Below are 27,350 nucleotides of genomic sequence, written 5' to 3' on the forward strand. Positions count from 1 at the left end.
CTCTAAGTTATTAAGTCAGAGACCCAGATTAGATGATCTACAGTCTAGGTCCACTACTTGTTTTTGTAAGTAAAGTTTTTATTGACATGTAGACACATTTGTTTACACATTATCTATGGCTGCTCTCACATTACAGTGGCAGATCAGAGTGGTTACAATAGAAACTACATAGCCCACAAGGCCTAAAATATTTATTATCTGACCCTTCACAGAAAAATTTTGGTACATTAACATGCCCCTGGTCTAGGGGTATGTTAACAAGAGTTTGGTATGTTGAGGATATATCTTATTAGCAGATATATCTTGTTACCTGCTTCACAAGGTAGGGAACTCTTGTTCACTAGTGTATCCTTAGTGCCTATGTCAGTGCCTGGTTTCTAGCATATGCTGAATACATACTTTAAATGAATGAGTGTATTAGAATGAATGACTAAATGAATTATACCTCTGGAGGGCTGAAATGTTTATTCATTAGTATTCTTCCTGTCTTGGAAATGTTTCTATTTGCTGTGGAATTTAAAACATATCCAGATGGAGGGAAGTTTATATATAACACCCATTTTCAGTGTTGTCATATAGCATGTCCAAGTGTATATAGTTCCAACTACATAACAGGGCTTAGTCTGAAGTAAATTCTAGTATGATTTTCAAATACAGTAGCAACATACAATATCTGATGCCACTCAGGAGGCAAGTGTGGATTAATAAAAGTAGAGTCTGAGATTTCTGGAAAACAATTCTTCAGTTAGAGGACAACAGAATCATGTAAAAGTGGAAAAGAATCATCATATGTTATAACCTTAGTACCAGTATTTATTGTTTTCAGATTTCTAAAAATAAGGCTTGTGGATCTTCCTTTTGTTTGATGTAGGCTCATTGAACCAATGTTACCAGTAATGTACCCAAAGTCAAAAAGAGGTTTATGTAGCTTGCATCTTCTGTTTTTCTATATACTGGAACATCCAGTAAATTTCTCTCTCTCTCTTTTTTTTTTTTTAATAGAGATGGGGATCTCGCTTTGTTGACCAGACTGGTCTTTAACTCCTGGCCTCAAGCAGTCCTTCCATCTTGGCCTCCCAATGTTCTGGGATTACAGGGGTAAGCCATTGTGCCTGGCCAAGTAAACTTTTCTTTAAGAAGAAGTGTATTCTTTAATTGGCTCTAGTGATTGTGGGGGCTGGTTAAAAGTGAAATCTGCAGAGTGGGCTGGCAGGCTAAAGAATAAGGGAAGAGGTGATGTTTCAACTCAAGTCAGAAGGCAGTCTGCAGGCAGAATATCCTTTTCCTCTGGAAAAAGAAAAATTGAGTCTTTTTTCCCCGTCTTAAAATCTTCAACTTATTAGATGAGGTCAACCCATATTACAGAAGGTAAGTACTTTACTCAATGTCTACTAATTTAAAAGTTAATCTCGTCTAAAAAATAACTTCACAGCAACATCTAGACTTGTTTTGACCAAATATGTGCGTACTATGGCCTAGCCAAGTAGTCATATAAAATTAACTATCACACTCTTCTATATATTAGCCTCATTAAACTAAAGATTTGAAATGTACAGTTGACCTTTTCTAAAATGAAGATTCATAGAGAAGTCCTTTGTTTTTATATAACCTGATAAAAATTGGACAGCCTTAATATGAGTGTCCTGTTCCACAGAAACATGTATTCAATAACAATGAAAGAAAATCACTGAGAAAACATTTACTAATATCACTGGCAAAGGGAAACATTACATTCAAAACACATAGCAATGGTTTTAAATATAATCTCTCAATCCTTTTTCATCTCCCACAATACAATAGCTACCCACAATGTCTGGTTTTTAGGTTCTAGGCTCATGTATTTAAAAGCCTCAAAACTCAACTTTCATTGGCTTTCCCCCACCCTTTTTCGTTTTTCCATTGTTTCACTTCTCCAGAAGTAATCTTTGCTCCCCCAATTATGTCTTTAGCATTTATAATTTGTCCTCTTTGCCTTTTCCAGTCCCCTGCTTCACCCATTACCTGGGCCAGCGTATGAAAATTTGGGAAACCAGCTGGTACATACAGAAAAGGCAGGGAAATGGTAGTAGGTTTTTAACACTCACATTTTAACTTTTTTAAAATCCTATTTTTAACAGGATTTCAAAAAATTCCCCTGGTATTATTGTTACTTTTGGGAGGGGATTTTTCCACAGGTGCATATCTTTCAAATTGTACCAAAAGCAACCCAACCCACTACTCTTTCATCTACCATCCACTTCTGTTCACAGTCCATACAACAGCGAAAATATAGAGCTTCTTGCAATTCCCCAATACACCATGTATTTTCTGATTCCTATGTTTTGACCTACTATTTCTTAGGTCTTACTTATCCCTTCTCTCTCATTTTGCTTTCATGACTATCCACACATAATTTAACACCTAGCTCAAATATCATTCTCTGAAGCCTTCACCAGCCAAGTTTCTTTCTCCTCTCTGGTTCCATTTTGCTATACATACACCAAAAATAATGCTTTTCATATTACATTGGAACTATTGTTTTATGAGTCCATTCTAATCAAACAGAATTACTTAAGGACTAAAACCTTATTTTGTACATCTCTGCATCCACAATTTCATTAATCAAGACTTTTAGCTACAAGAGATAGAAATCAAATTCTAATTTAGGCATAAAAGGAAAATTACTAGTTTACTAACTGATACATTCTGGATTATGTAAACTCAGATTAGTCACTCCAAAAGAAAGCAAACCTTTTTTTCCCAAATGTCCCACGGATTAATTCCCCTATAAGTTATAGGCACATCTGTGAATTTATGTCAGGTACCACGATTAGCCCAGCCTAAGTCAAATGCCTATCACCACAGGCTCAGGAGACATTGGCATCATAATTATTACCCCAACGGGATCAAAAGTGAGGAAAGGGCGTGCTGATACCAAGAGAAATAGGAAAGATTACGATATGACAGGCAGCTAAAGACCAGGGCAACTACAGTTTGCTACTCTGGAACTTAGCACAACATGTGGTACTTGATAGGTGCTCAAAAAATATTAAATTAATAAACAAAGAGTAGTTGTTGTTCTTGGTTCTATAGCATTCTTAGGATCTAAAAACAACTTTACCAGCATATTGTATTTCTGAAGACAATTACCAACAATAATTAACCTCAGACACAGCATTAAATTCTGATACTTTATAAACCAACTGTTCCCCAAACATTTCCAACCTATGACTTTGGAAATGCAATGGTAACATCATGTAAAAAATAATTGAGAAAGTTTACAAGTAATCAAAAATTCTCATCAAGGTTTAAACATACACACATATACCCACATTAATTTATATATTTATATTTATGCCCACAAATATGCACACATTAATATTTATGCACACACATATATATATACACACATAACAAATGGTCATTCTCATATCAGAGAAATATATCCTAATATAGAGTCACCAAACTATAAACTTGATAAAATCTGTTTTCCAATCAGACCTACAACTACATACTAAAAATGTTCTTATTTTATACACATTGCAAACATGTTTTATCAGGCAAAATGTAAGTTTAAAGGATAAGATCCCTCCTGTTTGGGATAGTTTAGGCACTGTTTTGTCTAAAGAGAAAGAACTAAGCATGATGAAGACAAAAGAACAATTAAATAGTGGATAAGAGAGTAAAGGTAAGCTTTCGGGGCCCTTTTTCCACATGTCATATTTAAATCAGTCTTGCTTTATTGAAGGAGGTTGTCTTTGGTATCAAGTTACGAAAACATCTTTAAAGATGCAATTTTTATGTTTTAAAAATTATGATTAAAATGTCATTTACTTTGTTTTTCAAAACAAGCCATTAGCCTTAAAATATATTTTCTTTTTAAATAAAAACCCAGGATTGACCCATAATCATACAAATAAAAGCATAATCCTTCTCAATAACATTTTAGAGTCTTTCATTCTCTTTTCATTCTACCTCTTATCCTTGCAGCTATTCTCAGCAGCAACAGAAATCCAGAAATAGTGTCGAGCAGATATTTTGTCCAAACTTGTCAAAAATAGGCAACAGACACAGTTATATACAAATAAAGCCTTTACTGAGTCTGCGGGAGCCAAATGAACTATACAAGGTGTTAATTAATTTTGCATTTCTAACATTTCAATCATCATTTCCTTGGAAGTGGACACCCACATGAAGAAAAGAAATGTAGCCACATGTAGCTATTATGTACAAAAAATATTCCTAATATACAAATGCAAACCTTTTCTTGGACAACATTTATATTTTCTATTAGCATCTGGCTCCTTTTTCAATAAAGTTCAGTATTTGTGACAGCCTTTCTTTCAGAAATGTGAAGGCTTCCTTGCCGTGAGCATTTCAAATGTTCAGAAATACCAACTGTGATTCAAATGATTTATAAGGTCATCACCCAAGAAAAGCCATGTACACTGAATTTTCTAGCTGCCAAATAGAGGGAAAATATAAAGAGAGATGTGTGTGTGCTTGAGTGTGTGCGTGTGTGTGTTTGGGGAGGTAACTTCTAGATTGGATGGTGAGACAAAGCAGTAATAAATAACAGAAGTGAAATGTAGAGTGTAAAAAAGCAGACCTTAGTTCCTAGATACTTTAGCCTTCCACAGCCGCCAGAATACTGACTTACACATAGTAGGTGCTCTATAATAATTTTTTTAGGGTATAAGCAAAGAGAGACTGAGTCTCTATGTAAAGTAAAATATCCATAACTAAAGACCCCCTTTAAAAAAGGACAACTTGATCTACTTTATTCTTCATAATAAAACCAACTGACATTTGCTTTGTGCTCACTATCAACTAGATAGTGGGACAGGTGCTTTCCGTGACTGATCTGATTCGAACTTTAAAGTAATTCTATGTGGCATTTATTATTACTATGCTAATTTACAGATGAAGGAAGACAAGCGCAAAGCTCAGAGGAGCTCACAGCTGCTGTGCTTCCCTCCTGGAATCTTTTCCCCTAGCTCTAAACATGGCTGGTTCCTTCTCCTCCATCACGTCCCTGCCTAAATTCCACCTCCTCTCAGCCTTTGCTCATCACCCTTGCCCCACAGAGTCACACTCCATCTCACTTTTCTCACAGCACTTTACCAACACATTACCATCACTTTTAAATTAATTCATTTATTATTTTTCATTTATTCATGACCTAACTTGCTCATTAGTATAGTCATTCCATGAGAATGGTGCATAACAACAAGAAATGTACTAAACATATTTTTATAGGAATTAATAAATGTTTCAAATATCACAGGGCTAGTAAGAATGAAGAGGGAACTCTAACACACATACGTGACTCCAGATCTCAGTAGTTGAATCCTCAGCAATGTTCCTTACTAATTTGTTCATTCTTTCACCTTTTTATTGAGCACTTACTATGTTCCAATCACTTTTCTTAGCAAAGAGAAAGCAGTGGTAAACAAGATAAACAAAACAAAAAACTTGGACTTAAGATGTAATGGAGATAAAAGACAATGAATAGTTATGGAGCAACAAGTGCTATAACCAGGAGAATGCATGAGAGGCAGGGGACTGAAGATGCAGACAGGGAGCCAACAAGAGAGGTTTTGCAGAGAAAATTATGTCTAACAAATAAGTGAAAAGTCTGTAGAAGACCGGTACTTGAAGGCTCAGGAAGAAGCTTCATGGAAGAGGGAATAATGGAAAGTTGTTTCAAGAAGACAGAATAACATGGACCAGGTCTTGGAGGTTGGCAAGGAGAGGACTGGAAGGAAGTGAAGGTCCAGGTCAGGAAGGGTGTTGTAAATGAATTATAGAGTTAGGAATTTAGGTCAAGAAAAAATTGGGGCACTATCAAAAAGCAGTAAACTAATTGTTATAATTACTTTTTGGAGTAGAAAAAGGGAGGATGAAAGTAGCAAGACCTATTGCAGTAGTCACATGTAAATGGATAATAGCAAGAAGAACAGAAAGTAATAAGCACATTTGAGAGCTGTTATGGATATATTTAGAAAGGAGAATTCATAGGATCGGATTGATTTTATATAGAGGAAATGAGGAGGAAAGGAAAGGGTGAAAGAAAACATCCAGATTTATAGCTTGGGCAACCAGATGCCAACACTGAGACATGGAAAACAGGAGCCAGAGCTGTAGAATGGGCAATGGGGAAACGGCTGTGTGGACGGCCAAGGCAATGAGTGCAGGAGGTACATGGGGAGTTTGAGAATAGACTTCCAAATTAAGAGACCCAGGATGAAGTTTGATAGGAACCTAGAGTTCAAGGATGAGTACTGAACTGCAGCTGTAGATTTTGTTTTCATCAGGTGCTAATTGAAGCCATGTGAAGGATGAGCTGGCCTAAGGAAAATACACAGATTGAAGCCTGAGGAACAAGATTCAAGGGAGGCATGGAGAATTAGGAGCTTTAAAAAAAGACTAAGAAGACCCATCCAGAGAACAGGGAAAAAAGCTAGAAAGTGCCACAGGTGCCAAGAAGAGAGGATTTCAGAGTGAGGGGAGCCCAAAAGTCTAAAACCGTTGTAAAGCATATGTGGACTGAACGTGGACTGAACACTGACAGACATGAGGCAGAGGTAGTCAAAGTCATTGATATTCTAGGACTGAATGGCCAGACAGTTGGAGCCAGGATGATGACAGGACAGGACATAGACATGACATCTGTGAGTTTACTGGTGAAGACTTCAACAAATGGCATCTGAGTGTTCAAGGATGACAACAATACAGAGATGTAGAGAGTATGCCAGACTCATAAGCGTCTCAAGGGCATGGGTTTTTCACTTGGGTGGAGGCATATGGGTATACAGATAAATGTGCAATAAAGATGAGCAAGGCTGGCCGGGCATGGGGGCTCACACCTGTAATCCCAGCACTTTGGGAGGCCGAGGCAGGAGGATCACATGAGGTCAAGAGTTCGAGACCAGCTTGGCCAACATGATGAAACCTCGTCTCTACTAAAAATCCAAAAAAAAAAAAAAAAAAAATTAGCTGGGCATGGTGGCGTGCACCTGTAGTCCCAGCTACTAAGGGAGGCTGAGGCAGGAGAATTGCTTGAACCCAGGAAGCAGAGGTTGCAGTGAGCCAAGATCATGCCACTGCACTCCAGCCTGGGCAACAGAGGGAGACTCCATCTCAAAAAACAAAACAAAACAAAAAACAAGCAAGCCTAGTTCCCAACCAAGGCCCTGTTTTATCCCAAGACATAACTTACTTGACTCAAAACAAGGAATAGAAATGAACTTATATAATGTTCTGAAAATTTTTTACTATTTAAGTCAAGAAAATATATGTATGCTTACTGCTTCAAATATTTCATAAAAAAACTCCTACACATTTCAATATTTCAAATAAAAACAGCTGTGATTGGACATCCTAGCTGTCAATGATCTAGATTTTGAAAGACTGTATCATATTAGCTCCAAACTTACAGAAGAATTTGGATGGAAGACAAATCTTTTAGCTAATTTCTATCTCTTAGATCTCTGAATGCATGTCTTGCTGCTTTCCAAAACCCCCAATTCATTAATTAGATCCTGGCAAATAAAAGGGAATTTCCCCTCATCTTGGCAGGTTTCTTTTAAAATGTTCTGATACAGAGGATGGAACTCATAATAGGATATTTTAGCCCACTAGTGGAAATGCATCTTGGAAATAATAACGATTACAATCACCTAATATTTCACATGAGCTTCTTCATCTTTTCCTGGACTAGCTAGCACCCATTTGTCTTTCAATTAGAATCTTTATAAGATAACTTTATGTTTTAAACTTAGGTGCTTTATGTTATCAATTAAGTTATGAGTCATCTTTCTCACAAAACCATTTTTACCCTTGATCTCTATAAACACAACTGTAGCTAAATTAGCCTCTTTTATGTTTGCATAAAGAAAAGGATTCCAAGATCACAGTTTTTCTTCAGAATCACAGACAAAAATAGAAAAATTAACTCACATATATAAAAACAAAGTTTATAGTTATAATTGATAAGAAATGAATGAGTTACTTTTCCTACCATACTCCCATGAAAAGAAGAGACAGGCATTTGGGATAGACAGTGCCAAAAAGAGAAAAAAGTAAACTCTAACTCATTACATCATCTTTCTCCACAGTTCCCAGGAAAAGGCACCTCCCAGCTCAGCACAAGGGAGTTTATTTGGACCTAGGATTTGCTTTTCACATATCCCCAAAATCCTCAGTGTCAAATAATCTTAGGCACATGTGAAAATCAGTGACTTCATACTCCAGTCTGAGCTTCATTTGAGATTTTTTAAAACAAGTAGTGAGGACAGACACTCTAGGATTCCAAAAGGCCTAGGGATCAGTCAAACAAAGTGATTCTGCTGTCCTTCATGGTTGCCTACCTGTAATTCCACCTGCCACCCCCGCTTCACAGCTTGTTCCTTGCTGACAGATCGCTGCCTAATGTGCCACACATCCAGTCTCAGGTGAGACAATGACTGATCCCTGGCCTCCTAGCTTCTCTTACATTTGAGGGTGCCGAGAGAATGCAGCGTGAGCCAATGAGGCATAAACCAATATTTGCTTAAGGAAGTTGGTGACTTTTGTCTTCCTGAAGAGAGAGGTTGAGAATGATTGGATGTGTTTCCTCTTTCTTCTGTCAAGGTGGACAAAATATCTGGCACATCTTGTGATAAAGATGCAGCAAACATATATATATATATATATATGATCAACAAAGTAAGGCAGCAGAACAAAAGAGGAGAAAGCAATCTGATCTCTGATGATAACTTGAGCAACTGAACTGATACCAGAAAAATCTCACCTCTGGATGTTTTGTTTTATGAGCAGAATAAATGCCTACTTATGTCAGTCTTTCAGGTGGACTTTCTGTTATTGGAAACTAAACACATTCACAAGGGATGCACCTTTTTTATTGTTTTCTCACATTGGGCACATCGATTTTAGCACTCGGCTTGTTAGGTTTCTTTTTCTCCTTTTTCTTTTCAGCTGTCTGAGCAGATCTAGACTTTTTTTCCCAACCCAGTGGCCTGTGGAGAGTGGTACTGAGGATGGGTTCCACCAGCTTTAAGAGCTGTACTGGTCCTTGTCCCTTTCTTCTCCTGGGACATTCTTGTCTGCAGTAAGGGGAGTCATAGCTCCCTACTTTATTTGAAGTGGGCTCACCGGTCAGGTCCCACATTAAACCTCCAACCAGAATGACGTGGGGCTGGAAAATTCTTACAAAAAATTTGAAAATACATACTTCATTCTTTTCTGTAAGTAAAATATATCTTCCAGGAAAAGGGTACACACAAATATTGGTGTAGCTTATTAAAAACCCTAGTTAACAGAGCCATTATAAATTTATCTTTTTTCTAAGAGAGAAGAAAAATTATCATGTATAAGTTTATAGTTTGAAGGCACCTCAAGCCTCTTAAGAGGAATTTGGCCAAAGAAGTAAAATCAACCTGTCCCTTAAGAAGACCAAAAAGGAGAGCCATGCCACTGGGGGAACTGGTTTAATTAAAACAAGAGGTAAAAAGCAATGTTCAGAGGTTCCAGGGAGTCTGGAGTTGTACAAAGCGAAGAGAGCAGTGCAGACGAGAATTGCAGTGGGAGAGAAGCAGCCTGGGGCATGATGCCTTCAAGTTAGGTTAGGGTGCAAGGCAGCTGGTACAGAGGCTTACACGAAGCCAGTTGAGACCCTGGGACTTTGAGAGCCTGTAGGTGATGTGCTCGGGGGCATAGGCAGAGGCCTGATGATAGATCGCTTCTCCTACACAGTAGAGTTGATGAAAGCCCTACGGGAAATCTTAAAAAGAAATATGATGTTTTCTCTTGTAACCCCCCAGTGCCTAGTATACGTGCAGTTAAGTGTGCTGATAAACATAAATGCTATGTCCTAGTTTTGTTTTTTCTCTCCAACCAGGTAAGTGCCTTAAGAATGAGAAGCATCGGCCGGGCGCAGTGGCTCACGCCTGTAATCCCAGCACTTTGGGAGGCCGAGGCGGGCGGATCACGAGGTCAGGAGATCGAGATCATCCTGGCTAACACAGTGAAACCCCGTCTCTACTAAAAATACAAAAAATTAGCCTGGCGTGGTGGTGGGCGCCTGTAGTCCCAGCTACCTGGGAGGCTGAGGCAGGAGAATGGCGTGAACCCAGGAGGTGGAGCTTGCAGTGAGCTGAGATGGTGCCACTGCACTCCAGCCTGGGCGACAGCAAGACTCCATCTCAAAAAATAAAAGAATGGGAAGCATCTTTATCCAGACAAGTGTCTCAAAAAGCTTCTTAATTTAATTTAATTCCTCATTCATTCATTTTAGCATTTACTACGTTTTTAACTATATAAATACAAGGAAGAAAATTGAAATGAACATGATCCCATCTAAATAATCATGGGGAAAGTTCAAACAATAGGTACAAAATAAAATGACAAACTTTCCCACCTCCCCCACTCATTCTCACCAATGATAATAATGCCCAGACCACTTACCTCCCTCACCTAAAAAAGTATATATCTAGCCATGTTCTTTAATCTTTTCTAGAGAATGCCAGCTTGCTCCTCAGCTTTCTAAAGTATGTGCATATACCTTCCACAGTGACTCCAAACAAATATTCCAAGGTCTCATTGGACAAGACAACAATCCTAAATTCTCTAGGTCCTTGGAAATTTTATCAAATAAAATGATATTTATTTGGAGGAGGTAAAATTTATTATGATCTTTAAATAATCGTAATTTCTATACTTACATCAGGAAAGACATGAGATGGGTACAGATTCGAACATATTTATTTCTTTAGCCATTCACTCAATCATCTTTATTTGGTTGCTCTGTGAATCTAGGATGTGAAAATCAATGGTCACTAACATCATAAAAAGAGAGACAACCAGGCATTGTGCTACCTCCTGACAAAAGTACACAATACTGCCTATGAAGTAACCTTCCCAAGAAGTCAAACCTGAATCTAGTTAAGGTAATCTGAATCAGATCACCAATTTAGAGAAAATATAAATGCTAAAGCAATACATTTAACACACCGCAGGAATACAATCAACAAAATCCAATCTGTTGGAAACACCATAAAGCAAATAATTTGGTTTCTACAATAAATAAATTGATGGCAATAAAGAGATGAGTGAGAGTCTACATATTAAAAAGACACAAAATAATAGCAACAAATCCAATTCATGAACTTGATTTTGAAGCAAACAAACTGTAAAATAAGTGAGACAAGGACATTAGAACATTGGCTATTACTTGATGATCTTTAAGAAAATGTTTAGTTGTAGTTATGATTTTTCCCAAAGTGCTGCTTTTCCTTAGCAATACATACTGAAATACTTATATAAAATGATATGATGTCTGGAATTTGTTTCCAAACACTTCAAGGGGAAGGAGGAAGTAAATAGAATGAGATTGGTCATGAGTTATAAATAGTTAAAACTAAGTGACAGCTACATGGCAGTTAATACTATCCTATTTTTGTATATTTTTGAAATTTTCTACAATAAAAAGTTAAAACAAAAGGAGCATACATAAACTATTGCACTGAAATAGTCACAGATCAAATAAAAATTGAAAGTTAAACTCTTAAAACAGTTATTTTGCTATAATATGCTATGTAGTTATTTTTTACCCCAAAGGTACCTTTTAGAACTTAGACCAACGAAGTTGGGTACAGTCTGTTTTTAAAAACTAAATAAATCTTTATAGACTTTATAAATCTTTATAGAATTTATTCTAGCTTTCCATACATTCTTTTTTTTTTCTCTCAGTTCACATTAGTGGGACATTAGAAAGAGACAATCAAAAGAATTTGGGGGTGCGGTGGCTCACACCTGTAATCCCAGCACTTTGGGAGGCTGAGGCAGGTGGATCACAAGGTCAGGAATTCGAGACCAGCCTGGCCAACATGGTGAAACCCTGTCTCTACTAAAAAAATACAAAAATTAGCCTGGGATGGTGGCATGTGCCTGTAATCCCAGGTACTCGGGAGGCCGAGGCAAGGAGAATTGCTTGAACCCAGGAGGCAGAGGTTGCAGTGAGCCGAGATCATGCCACTGCACTCCAGCCTGAGCGACAGAGAGAGAGTCCGTCAAAAAAACAAAAAGAAAGAAAGAAAGAAAGAAAGAAAGAAAGAAAGAAAGAAAGAAAGAAAGAAAGAGAAAGAAAGAAGGAAAGAAGGAAGGAAGGAAGGAAGGAAGGAAGGAAGGAAGGAAGGAAGGAAGGAAGGAAGGAAGGAAGGAAAGAGAGAAAGAAAGAGAAAGAAAGAAAAAGAAAGAAAGAAAGAAAGAAAGAAAGGAAGGAAGGGAGAGAGATTTGAGGCTAATCAGGGATAATGGCAAGAAACCAAGAATTCTGAAGAGTAGGTGTTAAAGGAGGTTTGAGATAAAGCTGAAATAACTTTAGCAATTTATGTAGATGATACAATGAAGCTAAGAATAGGGAATGTGTGTGTAATGGAGTCAGGTTAATTAGAAGGAGGAAAATGATTTCAGAGGAGCACACTGAGTTCAAAATTGGAAACGAAACTAAAGGAAGCCAAAATGTAGACATTTTAGGAGAAGAAAATTCTGAGGGAAAAAATCAAATGTTAAGGGTATTAGAAATTTTGAAAGATGAAGAGAAGAAAAATGCCAAGCTGTCCTGTAAATACAAAGGTTTGAAGGATGACTTATGGGCAGACAGCACCTATTTCAGAACTCTTCAGGCTGAGGGTGGAAGAGAGGGTCGAAATGCCATTGTATGAAAGGCTGACCTCTCTGGGGTCTAGACACATTTGAAAAACTCAGTCCCTCTATGGCAGCACATGCTCTACCAATGGAGGATAATAATTCCACAAAACATAATTCAATCACCTTCTGAACCTTCAAATTGCATGTTGCAGCTAATAGAAGTATTGATTCAATTGTCAGAGTCACTGTGCAATTTTTCATTGTACAGGAGCCTAGACGGAGAGAAGTCTACAGCAGAGCAAAAATGGATAATGCACATTTTTTCTTTATTGCATCATGAATGAAGGAAAAAAATTCCTGCTTCTCCCACTTCCACTCATGCAGACCCAAAAACACTCAACATAGACTCAGCCATATTCTCACCACATCAGTTCTAGATATTGAGGCTACACAGTTCAAAGTGTATGGTCTTTGACTTCAGGCAGACCTCAAATCCTGTCCTATCCCTGCCACTCACTAGCTGCATTATTGAAATCATAATCCTTAACTTCTCACCTACTCCATATGGTAGGTATAAGGATTAAATAAGATAAAAGTTACAAAGTACTTAGCCTAGATTCTGGCACATACTAATCGGTAGTGGTGACTATTCTTCCTAGGCTGCTATAAGAGGAAGAATCTCTGATTAGGCTCAGAAACATGGTGAAGGGTTGCTAGGAGAACTTGAAGAACTGCAGCTATTGAAGCCAGTGGTATATATCTCAGCAACCTCCAATGTCCCTCTGTGGGTGACACCAAGCATACTGCTTGAGGAGATCCCACCTAGAGATAATATTAACCACACATTCAAAAGAAACTTGCCTATATGGTGTGATTTGGGGAAAACTCAGACTGTTCTCCAGTTAGTCTGCCATAATGCCTAAAATTCTCTCATCAAGGACAAATTCCTTTGGGGAAAAGATCCAATAAAAGATGATGAACTTTTCTAAAATATTAATCATAATGCATATTATATATTTATTTTTAATCCCCAGCCCTATCATAGTGTCAGACAAAGAGTAGGTGGTTAATAAATTACTCTTAAAATTTCACTGGATAAATGTATATCACAAATATACTATTCCTCCAACACTGTGCAAGGCTTTGGGGAGGCAATAGGGAACAAAATAGATGAAGTTATTGCCTTTACTGAGCTTCTGATCTAGTGAATAAATGAATTAATTCATTAGTGAAGTAACAATAGAATTGTTTAGATGCTTAGACCATACGACCTTAAATTTTTGCTAATGTTTTACAATATTAATTGATTTACCTCCCACTGTAATTTGTCACAATTGTATTAACTACTCTAAAATGCATAGCAGTGTATGGTGGCTATGGTGGTTCATGCTATAATCCCAACACTTCGGGAGATCAAGGTGGGAAGATTGCTTGAGCCTAGGTGTTCAAGTCCAGCTTGGGCAACATAGTGAGACCCCTATCTTTGCAAAAAAGTAAAAAATTAGCTTGGTGTGGTGGCACACACTTGTAGTCCCAGCTACTCAAGAAACTGAAGTGGGAGGATTGCTTGAGCCCGGGAGGTAGAGGCTGCAGTAAGCCATGATTGTGCCACTGCGCTCCAGCCTGAGTGACAGAGCAAGACCCTGTCTCAAAAAACAAAACAAAAAAAATACATAGCAAACAAATATGGTAAGCAGAAAGACCCAGAATTAATTTTTCTTAAAATGCATTTTAAAATGTCTAACACTCGCCTCGTTCCAAGCCAGTCTTATTCTATTCAGACAACTGCTTCACAAAGTAAGCCAAATGTGGTTATGTTCAGATGCCCTGAAGGATTATTTTCCAATTTGGGGATATGCTCTTCTCGAGGACACATTGATGACTGAGTTGCCTAAGCTGGACTTGAAGAAAAGAGAAGAAAAGGCTTAAGCAGAGATAATAAAAATTATTCTGAAACATAAATTGGGTATTACCTTCCCCAAAACCATTGAAAAAATTAAAGCCAAAAGAAGAGGGCACTCTGTAGGGAAAAACTGGGAAAGCTAATGAAGTAGACCAAAAGACTAAGGGTGTCATTAATGCAAAACAATGCATTGTTTAGAGTACACCCAAGGTTATCTAATTTTGTGAAGTTTGTGCTTTTCATTGTCTTCAGCTATTTTATAATTCTGTAAAGGTAGACATTAACCTGCAGAAAACTGATAGCAATGCAAATAATTCTTGGTTAGAGGCATGCAAATAAACTCTGTCCAGTGGAAATTCAGTTGACTTCCCTCTCCCACTGTTGAAGAAGGTAGTTTTGCATCTACTAAGCAAATTTAAATCAGCCTTTCTGATGAGCTTGTGTATTAGTTGGCTGTCAAAATTCTCCTTTGTAGCAACCAGTTTTAACAACTTTTCCAGTTCCTTCACTAATCAGTGAGTGAAATAAAATTTTTGACATGTATCTATTTCATTTGTATAAGTCATGATTATATCCTCTTTTAACATTTATCCTTTACCAATAGTGTGCAAACCAAGTGAAATATCCCCACTGTAGTCTTTATAACTCCTTCCTCTTAAAAGAAATCAAGACTGAGACAAGTTGATCCATAGAAAGTGCTATTTGATCTAATAAGATCAAATAGCATACATAGAAATACAATTCCTACGGACATGGATTTGATAAAGCAATCATTTTACCTTCCTGAAAGGGGTATGAAAGTGCATTTCAGAAGTCCTGGAGGATTTATACCTTGCCCACAGTGGAAGAAAATAATTATATTAGCCTCAAACCATCACCACAGGCTCATTTCAAATAACTATGAGGAACTACAGCCATATAAGCCAGTAGGTACTTAGTATTGTATAGATCTATTTAGAGATGATCATTTAGAGAAATGAATCAATTTTATTAGTTTGCAGACAGGAATTTCAGCTCACCAAAAATTATGCCCATATCTAAGTGTACTTTCCTTACTTCTAGAAGTTAGCAGTGCCCACATTCTCATCACATAATAAAGTCATTCTAAAAGTGGAACAGCATTTCTTTTTTTAATGTGTTCATAACATGTGATTTGCTAAATCTAAAATAATTTATGTTGCTGCTAAATTCCCATTATTGTGTCATTATTCATGGGTTGGTTATTGCAAAACTTGGACTTGGCTAATGATTTGAGACTGACCATGTGACAGGTCAGAGGCAGTGACTCTACACAAGAAACAACATGTGATGAGGCCCAAAGACACATGTTCTCTGAATGAACGCAATATACTCAAGTTATGTTAAACTCAGGTCAGACTTTTAGAAATTGACTTTTGCAAATATAAAGCATATAATTCCCATAAGATGCTCCTCTTATAGGTCTGAAGATTCAAAATGTTATGAATGAAGAAATAAACATGAATGTACACAGAGATGTGGAATTTGTAATTCATTAACAACCATACTTTTCTTATTATATTCACTAGAAGAAAAGCTTCACCAAGGGCCTAGAAACCCAACTCACTACAGTCTACAATGAATTCTTCATCTACGTAATGAGAAATTTTATCAAATGACTTCTAAGACCCTTTTAAGCATGTAGAAAGTACATATTTTTAAGTTTTTTCATACTTTGCAGTTTTTCATAAAACTTCAACACAAGCGAAAATTTTTAGACAGTGGATTTTGAATAAACAAAATAAACTTTTGAATTCAAACCCACCCAGGAAGATTTAGAATTAAAAGTAAGATTAGTTTATTATTTAAATGATTTTTTAAATCAGGCACAATCAAGATAAATGATAGAAATCTTAGTAAAGCCCTCTGGAGCCTGACTAAAGGAGGCAGCAAACAACTTTGGCACAAATGTGCTAAAAGATGGATTGAGGAAGATGTGAGCTCAGTCAGTGTTAGACAGGCCAAGTCTAAGGTGGAAATTAAACCAGGTATGTGAAAATGTAGACCTGGAGCTCATGAGAGATGTCAGGGCAGGACATATAAAATTGATCTCTAAAGCCATAAAACAGTGAACAGAGGCAGACAAGCCATCCAAGAATTTCAGAGAAGGACTGAGAAAAGAAGAAGGAAAAAACAACTGTACATTTCTCCAAAGCCAAGAAAGAGAGCAAAGATTCAAGCACCATGAAAGATAAAAGCAGAGCTCTATTCATGCTCCACCAAATTCAGCAGGAGGCTCCAAAAATTATGGAATAATGGATATTTTCCATTAGCAAAAAAAAAAAAAAAAAAAAGTGCTACTATGGTCCTTGCTTCCTGAAAGTTAAAGATAGTAATTCTGTATTTTCACTCAGAATCAGAATGTGTAATAAATTTTTCTAGATTGGACACATATATGTGAACACTTGTACCTTCCTACTGTACAAGATCAACCTGAGAGCACCTGGAAAAAAAAAGTGTTCTTTCTCTCTTTTATTGATTTTTTTAAGGAGATGATTTTAATCAGAAAATACAAAATTGAGATTAAGATTTAGCATGCTGCAAAAACTAGGCATCTACAGTCATTAGTGTTGAAAAACAAGATCTTTATGAAACAAATATGATGTATTTTATATAATATCTATAAAATATAAAAGACTACAGATTCATTCAAGGCTAGTAAATAATGAAAGAAAACTAATCACATGCAAATGTTAAAAGAGTCAGAGACAATCATGAAAAACCGTGATGGTAGTTGTATTTAGGGAGGGGTGAGAAGCAGGTTTTTAAAAGATAAAATGCAAAGGCTTCTTCTGTACAGTTTGGTAGCACAGAGAGGTGGTTAGTAGCCCTGAAGAAAATAAAATCCCAGGGTTTAGACAGGCTACCTGAAGATTTTACAGAGCATTATTTAAACAGACGGCAAGCGCTGTTGCTGCTTAGCTGCTGTTTATTCCTAGAATCTTCTTCCCCTAGCCAGGTCACCATACGATCCAAGCAGTGCTTCCTTGCACATAATTATTCTCAAGGCAACTACACAACAGAGAGCTGGAAATGAGTCTCGGTTGAATAGCATTCTCTTGATTTGACTAACGCCCCTTTGCATCTATCTGCACACCCTCCTGTAACATTTGCAGGCACTGAATTGTGCCAAAGAGTTTTGACAAAGCTTCAGGTGCGGTCAGTAGCTTTTCCTTTCTTTCTTTTTAGATTGGGAGGGATGGGGGATAAGAGGTGGGGAGATGTGCTGGGGTGCCACAAGTACCACTGTGAGCCTTAGAATGTTTCCCAAGTAGAAAAGAAGTAAACATCATTAGAGAAAGGATTTCTAAACCCGTTGTGCCTGTTAAAAAGACATACAAAGAAAGACCCATGAGGGCAAAAATAACAAACCAGCTCTCAATTCATTTTCCAAATCCTTCCAAGGGTTTAAAATAGTTAAACCAAGGCCCCAGCACATCTTTAACTACCGAACAACACATTCCTTTTCTACTTTTTATGACTCCTCACACAATTTATATTCCTGCTAAGAACCCTGTCTGGCTTCTTCCCCAAACCCATGCCGTACAGGAGCCTGGCTCCATGCAGCCCTCAGGGTCCAGGCTGTGGGAATGCAGGAAGGTGGGGCTGTTGTAACAAGGTCCTGCCAGTGGAGAGAGCCCTTTGGCCAAGAGCACTGTAGGAAGTGCATTGTATGAATTCTGTCTTGTCTTGACACCCTTGTGTGATCCTTAACAATATCAGAATTTCATTAATATGAATATAAAATACATGCTCTTTTAAAACACTAATAATGTATTAGAATTTAAGGCAATATAGTGCCACAACATTGAGAGGAAAAAGCAAATCTATATGACACTCCAGCAGAGTAAATATTGAATACCAGCACGGTATAATTTAAAGGCAAATACTGATTGTGGTTTCACCAACAACCAATCATCTTACAGACTACTTCATACCAACAAAGCTTAGGGTGTATCTAAGCATATGGCAGCAGCACTAAGAAATATCGTCCCTGTTCTACATCGTCATTGCCCTAGGCAACAGATGACATCCCACACTTCCATGTCTGCTCCCAATTCTTGCTAAAACCACTTTATCACAGCATCTCTTGTACAAGTCCCTTTCCTACGTACTCATTCGTTGGATCCTTGTCCAATTGGGAACACAGTTTATTATAGAGGGAAAAAAACCATGTTGTAAAGTCAGAAAGCCAAAGATTCAAATCTCAATTCTACCACTTAGAAGATCTGCTGCTTACCTTCTCAGATGGCATTATCTGTCACATGTTCTCTTAAAAAGTCAAAGCTCGGGGATTCTGGGATGAGCAGGGGACAGATTTCCTGGTGACTCAGTCACTGTCTCTATTCTCCAGGTGGTGACGATCTGAGCCTCATCCGTACCCTCCATTTTGGTTCTTGTTAAGGGGCTACTCACTCTATGCTACAGAGGCTTCCCAGCAGTCATGTGCAATCAAAAATAAAAACAATAAATTTCTTATTAATAGCATTCTATTTGGCCCTAAATTATAAACTGAAGAAATGGCTGGCCTCTGTTCTGCTGTCAAATAATAATACCACTATTTGCACAGTGCTTATTATATGCCAAGAACTTTACACACAGTATCTCATTTCATCCTAACAAGAACTCTATGGAATAGGTGCTATTCCTCATCATTCTGCAGATGAGGAAATTTGGGCACTGTGAGTTTGCATAACTTGCCTATGTTAAAAAGCTATCCAGTGGCTGGACCTAGATTCAAATGCAGGTAATCCCTACCCTGAGCCTGATTTTTTAACCACTACCCTCTACTAACTCAAAGTAGTAGTACTGGGCTAACTGAGAAGAAATGCCTTCTCACTGTTCACAGTAAGAAACGGAAAGAATGGGGAAAAAATAAGAGAAGAGCACAGTAAGAGAAAAACATTTTATCAAGAAGACTTACTTAAGAACAGGCATTATGAAAAGATCAGCATGGTAATACAGGGAGACAAAGCATAAAGCATTAACAGCTAAAGAGAGAACACATCTCCATAATTTTATAATTGTCAATGTGTGATAATCTTCCAAGTTTTATGACAGTGCTTATCAGAGTGTACTATAACTATTGCTTTTCACGTTTATTTCCCTCTTATACTGAGAATGTGGTCAGAGTCCTATTCATCCTTGTACCTGCAGAGCTTAGCCCCACGACTGGCACCCAGCAGACAATCAAATAGTGTTGGATGAATGAGTGAATTGAATGCTGAAAACTCAAGTTAATGTTTATGGGTGCCAAACATTTAAGGATTTTTAGGGAAAGAAGCAAACCACTGAGGCCTGAAGCAGTAAAGTGCCTTAAGGAAGAAGATCTTTACCTGGATCATGCAGAATGAGTGGGATTTTAACTTCAGCTAAGGACTGATTGAAAGATGACAGGGTGTTGTTTTAACGGCATTCCAGCTTTTCTTGACTAAACTTGCCAATTCTAGGAGCCAATACTTAGAAATGCAATATTGTTTTCTTTTATGAGCTAGGTTGAATAATCCTGGGACCAAAAGCTGTAAATAAAAGATAGTACATTTTGGCAAACTCTAAAAAAGAAAGGTGCTAAAGTAAAACTAATTAGAAAGTGTATGCCAAGAAAAAAATCACGACTCTGTTTTTCAAGAATTGTCTCTTCATATAATTGCCTATGGACTTTCTATTATCCGGTAGGAATACTGCAATATTCCAACAGCCTAATTTAGATTTCTCACCACTCCCTAATTCTAACATGTGTTTAAAGAGTTTCATGGTCTTCTGATTATTACTTTAAAAACATATTATCATAAAGAATACACAGTGATGTTGCTTTGGCACCAACATACATTTTCAGAATTACTCTTACTGAAGGATATTGAGATTATAACAGAAGATAATTTATTTCAACCTAACAGGCATACTCAGAACAAGCCATCACTCTTCTGTATTTCTAATACATCATTTTCCTCATTAGATTTTGCTAGTACAACCTTTCCACCCATACGCATTCTTCAATGACATAAGTTTACATTCAATTGATTGCTTATGGCAATCAATTCCTTAAAAGCTACTCTTGAGTTAGGAGCCTGAGTTTATATATGCATCATAGTTTTCAGAAAAAAAAAAACTGAGTTGTCATAATCATCCATGGACATAGAGTTAGAAAATTTAGGAACCAAATTGGAAGAGATAAGGTAGAAATGTATTATAATTGTTTTATACCTTTATTAACATAGATGGAATCATCATTTTCAGTGCCAAAATTTGGGGTGTCTTAATGATCATCCATTATTTCATTCCATAACATTTATTTCCATCACGTTTATTTCCCTCTTATACTGAGAATGTGGTCAGAGTCCTACTCAGCCTTGTACCTGCAGAGCTTAGCCCCATGACTGGCACCCAGCAGACAATCAAATAGTGTTGGATGTACGAGTGAATTGAATGCTGAAAACTCAAGTTAAATGTTTATGAGTGCCAAACATTTAAGGATTTTTAGGGAAAGAAGCAAACCACAGAAGCCTGAAGCAGTAAAGTGCCTTAAGGAAGAAGATCTTTACCTGGAACATGTTTTAAAACATGTTGGGACTGTGATGCTGAATTAAACTACAGCTGGGTTCTTTGTGTGTCATGGACAACATTGATATTTTGATGAAGTACGGGGATCCTTTGTGTATCAGTTTAGTATTGCTGCTGTAACAAAGTAGAACAAACTTAGTGGCTTAAAACAACAGGTAATTATAGTTCTGTAGGTCAGAAGTCTAGTACAGGTCACACCCAAATAAAATAAAAATGTGATTATAAAATAAAAATATAGTTAGTGAAAGAAATATTTAAGCAAATTCGTGGTTTAGTTATACGTCTGCATCTTCACTAATGGTTTAAATAATAAGATCAAGTGGTGAGTCTACTAACTAGTATATTTTTCAAAGGGTTAAGCACAAATGATATTTTAATTTATTAGAAAAAACTATAAATGTAATATGAAAATGTGTGTGAGTTCCATTGGTAACAATGTCACAGCTATTGCCAATACTATTGTGCTTTGTTGCTTATGCTTATAATTGAAAGACATGATAAATTTCAGTTTTAAATCAGTTAAAAAAAGAAAGATGTATGTGCACCCTTCACCCCCAAAATCACACAACTCCTGAGTTTTTAAATCCTAAATTCCTGGTACAGAGATCCTAAAGTTCTGAATTCATCTTTTTTTTTTCCAGTATATTTTAGTGCAAACTTCTAGGGCAGAGAATTTTAGATTGGGCCATATAAAATGAAAATCAGTGACTTTTTAAAAACCCATCTGAGAACGTAGGTCCCAGGGCAAACTGGAACCCAAAGCAAACTGGAACCCAAAGCCAAGATCATCTGGAGCAAAAGCCATTGGAACCACTAACTAGCAGCAACACTTAGATCAAGCTTGTCCAACCCATGGCCCAACAGGCTACATGCAGCCCAGGATGGCTTTGCATGAGCCCCAACACAAATTTGTAAACTTTCTTAAAATATTTTTGCAATTTTTTTTTTAAGCTCATCAGCTATCATTGGTGTATTTTATGTGTGGCCCAATACAATTCTTTTTCTCTCAATGTGGCCCAGGGAAGCCAAAAGCTTGGACATTCCTGACTTAGATGGTAATTTTGGTGAATTGATGGCAATGCTAGAAATCTAAAACAGAGCAAGAGCGGTGAAGATTATCTGACGGGCTCATCAGTAGACTCAACCCAAGGAAATAATCAGTGACCTTAAAGAGACATAAGCAGAACTTCCTGAACTAAAATGCAAGGAGAAGACAAGACGAAAAAGAAAAACAAACAAACAAACAGAATAAAACAGAATAGCCAATAGTTATGGGACAATTTCAAAAGATGTAATATTACAGAATGCCAGAATATAAAGAAAGACAAAAGAAATATTTGAAGTAATAATGGCCAAGAAATTTCCAAAATTAATTATAGACAACAAACCACAGATCAAGGAAGCTCAGAGATAACCCGCAGAATAAATAACCTCCCTCTCCTCCCTCCAAAAACAAAAACTATCTATAGGCATATCATATTCAAGCTGCAGAAAGCCAAATGCAAAGAGAAAATCTTGAAAGTAACCAGAAAGAAATAAAATGCTTTACCTATATAGGAACAAGGATAATAATTACAGCGGACTTCTCACCAGAAACTATGCAAGCAATATTTAAAATATTTAAAGTAACAAAAAGCAAAATATTTAAAGTGTTAAAAGAAAAAAAACCTGGAATTCTATATCAAAATACATTATCCTTCATAAATGAAAGAAAAATATTTTATAAAACAGAAACTGAGGGACTTCATTGCCAGCATATCTATCATGTAAAAAATGTGTAAAGATTGTCTTTAGATAGAATGAAAGCTATGTAAGCCGGATACTTTAGTCTACATTAAAAAGGAAGAGCAAGGGAGAATAATAAATAAAGAAAAAATAAATATTGTATTTTTCATATTCTTAATTGATTAAAAGATAACTATTGCGTATTTATTGTTACTAAATAATAACAATTTCTATCTTCTGGATAACTAGAAGAATGACAGCAACGTCACAAGAGATGCAAGGGACAAATCAGGACTACATGTGAAATGGAATACTTTCATTTGAAGGTGAACTTAGATCTGTTGAAATTTTATATTGTAAACTCTAGGACAACCACTAACAATATTTGTAAAAGTAAGATAATACGCTAAGAGAGAAAAGAAAATGGAATTATATAAAATGCTCAATTAAAATGAAAGAAGGCAGAAAAGACAGCTTTTGGCAACAAATAAAAAACAGTAAAAACATGGTTGCTATTAATCCAAGTATATTAATAATCACTTTAAAGACAAATGATCCATATATACTAATTAAAAGACACACATTGTTAGAGTGAATTAACAAACAGAACTGAACTATATGTTGCATACAAGAAATTTACTTTACATATAGACTCTGATAGGATAAATGTAAAGGGATGGAAAAAGATATACCATGCTAACACTGATCCAAAGAAAGCTGAAGTAACTCGATTAATTTGAGACAATGCAGACTTCAGAATAAGAAAAATGCCATGGATAAACAAGGCAATGATTAAATGATACAGGGACTGATTATCCAAAAAGTCACAACAATCCTAACAATAGAGCATCAAACCATGTGAGGCAAAAACTGATAGAACTTTAAGGCAAAATAGATAAACTTACTATTATAGTTGGAGACTTAAACATCTATCTTTCAGCAATTGATAGATCAAGCAGGCAGAAAATCAGTAAAGATTTAGTTGACCTAAACAGCAATATCAGTCAATTTTTTCTAACTGGCATTTGTGGAATATGCTATTCAACAACACTAGAATATACTTTCTTCTTTGGATCACACAAAATGTTCAACAAGTTAGATCACATTCTGGGCCATAAAGCACATCTTACCAAATTTAAAAGTATAGATATCACACAAAGTATCAGCTCAGACAACAATGGAATTAAAACTAGAGATCAATAACAGAAAGAAAGATATCTGAAAAATCATCAAATATTTGGAAATTAAACAATACACCTTTTTTTAAAGTTCCAGGATATATGTGCAGGATGTGCAGGTTCTTTACATAGGAAAACATGTGTCATGGTAGTTTGTTGCACCTATCAACCCATCACCTAGGTATTAAGCCCTGCACGCATTAGCTATTTATCCTGATGCTCTCCCTCCCTGCACTCCCTTAACAGGCCCCAGTGTGTGTTGTTCACCTCCCTGTGTCCACGTGTTCTCATTGTTCAGTTCCCACTTAGGAGTGAGAGCATGTGGTGTTTGGTTTTCTGTTCCTGTGACAGTTTGCTGAGGATGATGGCTTCCAGCTTCATCCATGTCCCGCAAAGGAATGATCTCATTCCTTTTTATGGCTGCATAGTATTCCATTGTGTATATGTATCACATTCTCTATATTCAGTTTATCATTGATGGGTAATTGGGTTCATTCCATGTATTTGCTATTGTGAATAGTGCTGCAATGAATATATACATGCATGTATCTTTGTAATAGAATGGTTTATATTCTTTTGGGTATATACCAAGTAATGGGATTGCTGGGTCAAATGGTATTTCTGGTTCTAGATCCTCGAGGAATCGCCACAGTTTCTTTTACAATGGTTGAACTACAGTTACCATTGTTACCAACAGTGTAAAAGCGTTCCTATTTCTCCACAGCCTCACCAGCATCTGCTGTTTCTTGACTTTTTAATAATTGCCATTCTAACTGGTGTGAGATGGTTTCTCATTGTGGTTTTGATTTGCAGGTCTCTAATGATCAGTGATGTTGAGCTTTTTTTCATATGTTTGTTGGTCATATGAATGTCTTCTTTTGAGAATGTCTGTTCCTGTCATTTGCCCACTTTTGGATGGGGTTGTTTGCTTTTTTCTTGTAAATGTGTTTAAGTTCCTTGTAGATTCTGGATATTAGACCTTTGTCAGATGGGTAGATTGCAAAAGTATTCCCCCATTCTGTAAGTTGTGTGTTCACTCTGATGATAGTTTCTTTTGCTGTGCAGAAGCTCTTTAGTTTAATTAGATCTCATTTGTCAATTTTGGCTTTTATTGCAATTGCTTTTGGCATTTTTGTTATGAAGTCTTTGCCCATGCCTATGTTCTGAATGGTATTGCCCAGATTTTCTTTTAGGGTTTTTATGGTTTTGGGTTTTACATTTAAGTCTTTTATCAATCTTGAGTTAACTTTTTGTATAAGGTATAAGGAAGGGGTCCAATTTCAGTTTTCTGAATATGGCTAGCCAGTTTTCCCAGCACCATTTATTAAATAGGTAATACTTTCCTCATTACTTGTTTTAGTCAGGTTTGTTGAAGATCAATATCCCTGATGAACATCAATGTGAAAATCTTCAATAAAATACTGGCAAACTGACTCCAGCAGCACATCAAAAAGCTTATCCACCACAATCAAGTCAGCTTTTTCCCTGGGGTACAAGGCTGGTTCAACATACGCAAATCAATTAATGCAATTCATCACATAAACAGAACTAATGACAAAAACCACATGATTATCTCAATAGATGCAGAAAAGGCCTTTGATCAATTCAACATCCCTTCATGTTAAAAACTCTCAATAAACTAGCTATTGATCGAACATATCTCAAAATAATAAGAGACACTTATGATAAGCCCATAACCAATATCATACTGAATGGGCAAAAGCTGGAAGCATTCCCTTTGAAAATCAGCACAAGACAAGGATGCCCTCTGTCACCACTCCTATTCAACATAGCATTGGAAGTTCTGGCCAGGGCAATCAGGCAACAGAAAGAAATAAGGTGTATTCAAATAGGAAGAGAGGAAGTCAAATTGCCTCTGCTTGCAGAAGATACAATCTTATATCTAGAAAATCCCATTTTCTTAGCCCAAAAGCTCCTTAAGCTGATAAGCAACTTTAGCAAAGTCTTAGGCTACAAAATCAATGTGCAAAAATCATAAGCATTCCTTTACACCAACAATAGACAAACAGAGAGCCAAATCATGAATGAACTCCCATTCACAATTGCTACAAAGAGAACAAAATACCCAGGAATACAGCTAAAAAGAGATGTGAAGGACATCTCCAAGGAGATCTACAAACCACTGCTCAAGGAAATAAGAGATGACACAAACAAACGGAAAAACATTGCATGCTCATGGATAGAAAGAATCAATATCATGAAATGGCCATACTGCTCAAAGTAATTTATAGATTCAATGCTATTCCCATTAAATTACTATTGACATGCTTCACAGAATTAGAAAAAAACTACCTTAAAATTGATATGGAACCACAAAAGAGCTTGTATAGCCAAGACAATACTAAGCAAAAAAAAAAAAAAAAGCCGTAGGCATTACGCTACCCAACTTCAAACTGTACTACAAGGCTACAGTAACCAAAACAGCATGGTACTGGTACCAAAACAGACACATAGACCAATGGAACAGAATAGAGATCTCAGAAATAAGACCACATCAACACACTTTTATTTATTTATTTTTTATAATTTTAATTTCTACTTCCATTTTAGATTCAGGGAGTACATGTGCAGGCTTATTACATGGGTATACAACATGATGCTGAGGTTTGGGGTACAAGTGATCCCATAATCAGATCGTGAGCATGGTAGCCAGTAGGTGGTTTTTAAACCATTTCCCTCTTCCCACCCCCACATAGCTTCCAGTGTCTATTTTTCCCATCTTTATGTTCATGAGTACCCAATGTTTAGCTCCCACTTACAAGTGAGAACATGTAGTATTTGGTTTTCTATTTCTGTATTAATTTACTTAGGATGATGGCCTCAAGTTGCATCCACACTTCTGCAAAGGACATGATTTCATTCTTTTTTATGATTGCATACTATATTCCATGGTGTACATATATCATATATTCTTTATCCAGTCCACCACTGATGGGCACCTAGGTTGATTCCATGTCTTTTCTACTGTGAATCATGCTGCCACGAACATGTGCGTGTCTTTTGGGTAGAATGATTTATTTCTTTTGGATATATACCCAGTAATGGAATTGCTGGGTTGAATGGTAGCTCTATTTTAAGTTCTTTGAGAAATCTCCAGACTTTTCCACAGTGGCTGAACTAATTTAGATTCCCACCAATCTTGTATTAGGGTTTCCTTTTGTCTGCATCCTTGCTAGGATATGTTTTCTGACTTTTTAGTAATAGCCATTCTGATTGGTGTGTAATGTTACCTCACTGTGATTTTGATTTGCATTTCTTTGATGATTAATGATGTTGAACTTTTTTTATGTTTATTGGCCTATTGTATGTCTTCT

The 27,350-nt window shown here is 36.7% G+C and overlaps 1 long non-coding RNA gene across 1 annotated transcript in view; it reads right to left on the bottom strand.

Annotated features, from left to right (window-relative positions):
* LINC01208 (long intergenic non-protein coding RNA 1208) overlaps positions 1-19,979 on the bottom strand; it is a 31,385-nt gene extending 11,406 nt beyond the window's left edge. Inside the window, exons 1-2 of the long non-coding RNA NR_109968.1 lie at positions 19,888-19,979; positions 18,792-18,982 (exon numbers count right to left, since the gene is read on the bottom strand). This is a non-coding gene — a long non-coding RNA (long intergenic non-protein coding RNA 1208). The remainder of the gene's footprint in view (positions 1-18,791; positions 18,983-19,887) is intronic.
* Between the last annotated feature and the right edge of the window lie 7,371 nt (positions 19,980-27,350).

Source organism: Homo sapiens, chromosome 3 (genome assembly GCF_000001405.40).
Source record: "Homo sapiens chromosome 3, GRCh38.p14 Primary Assembly".
Lineage (NCBI taxonomy): Eukaryota > Metazoa > Chordata > Mammalia > Primates > Hominidae > Homo > Homo sapiens.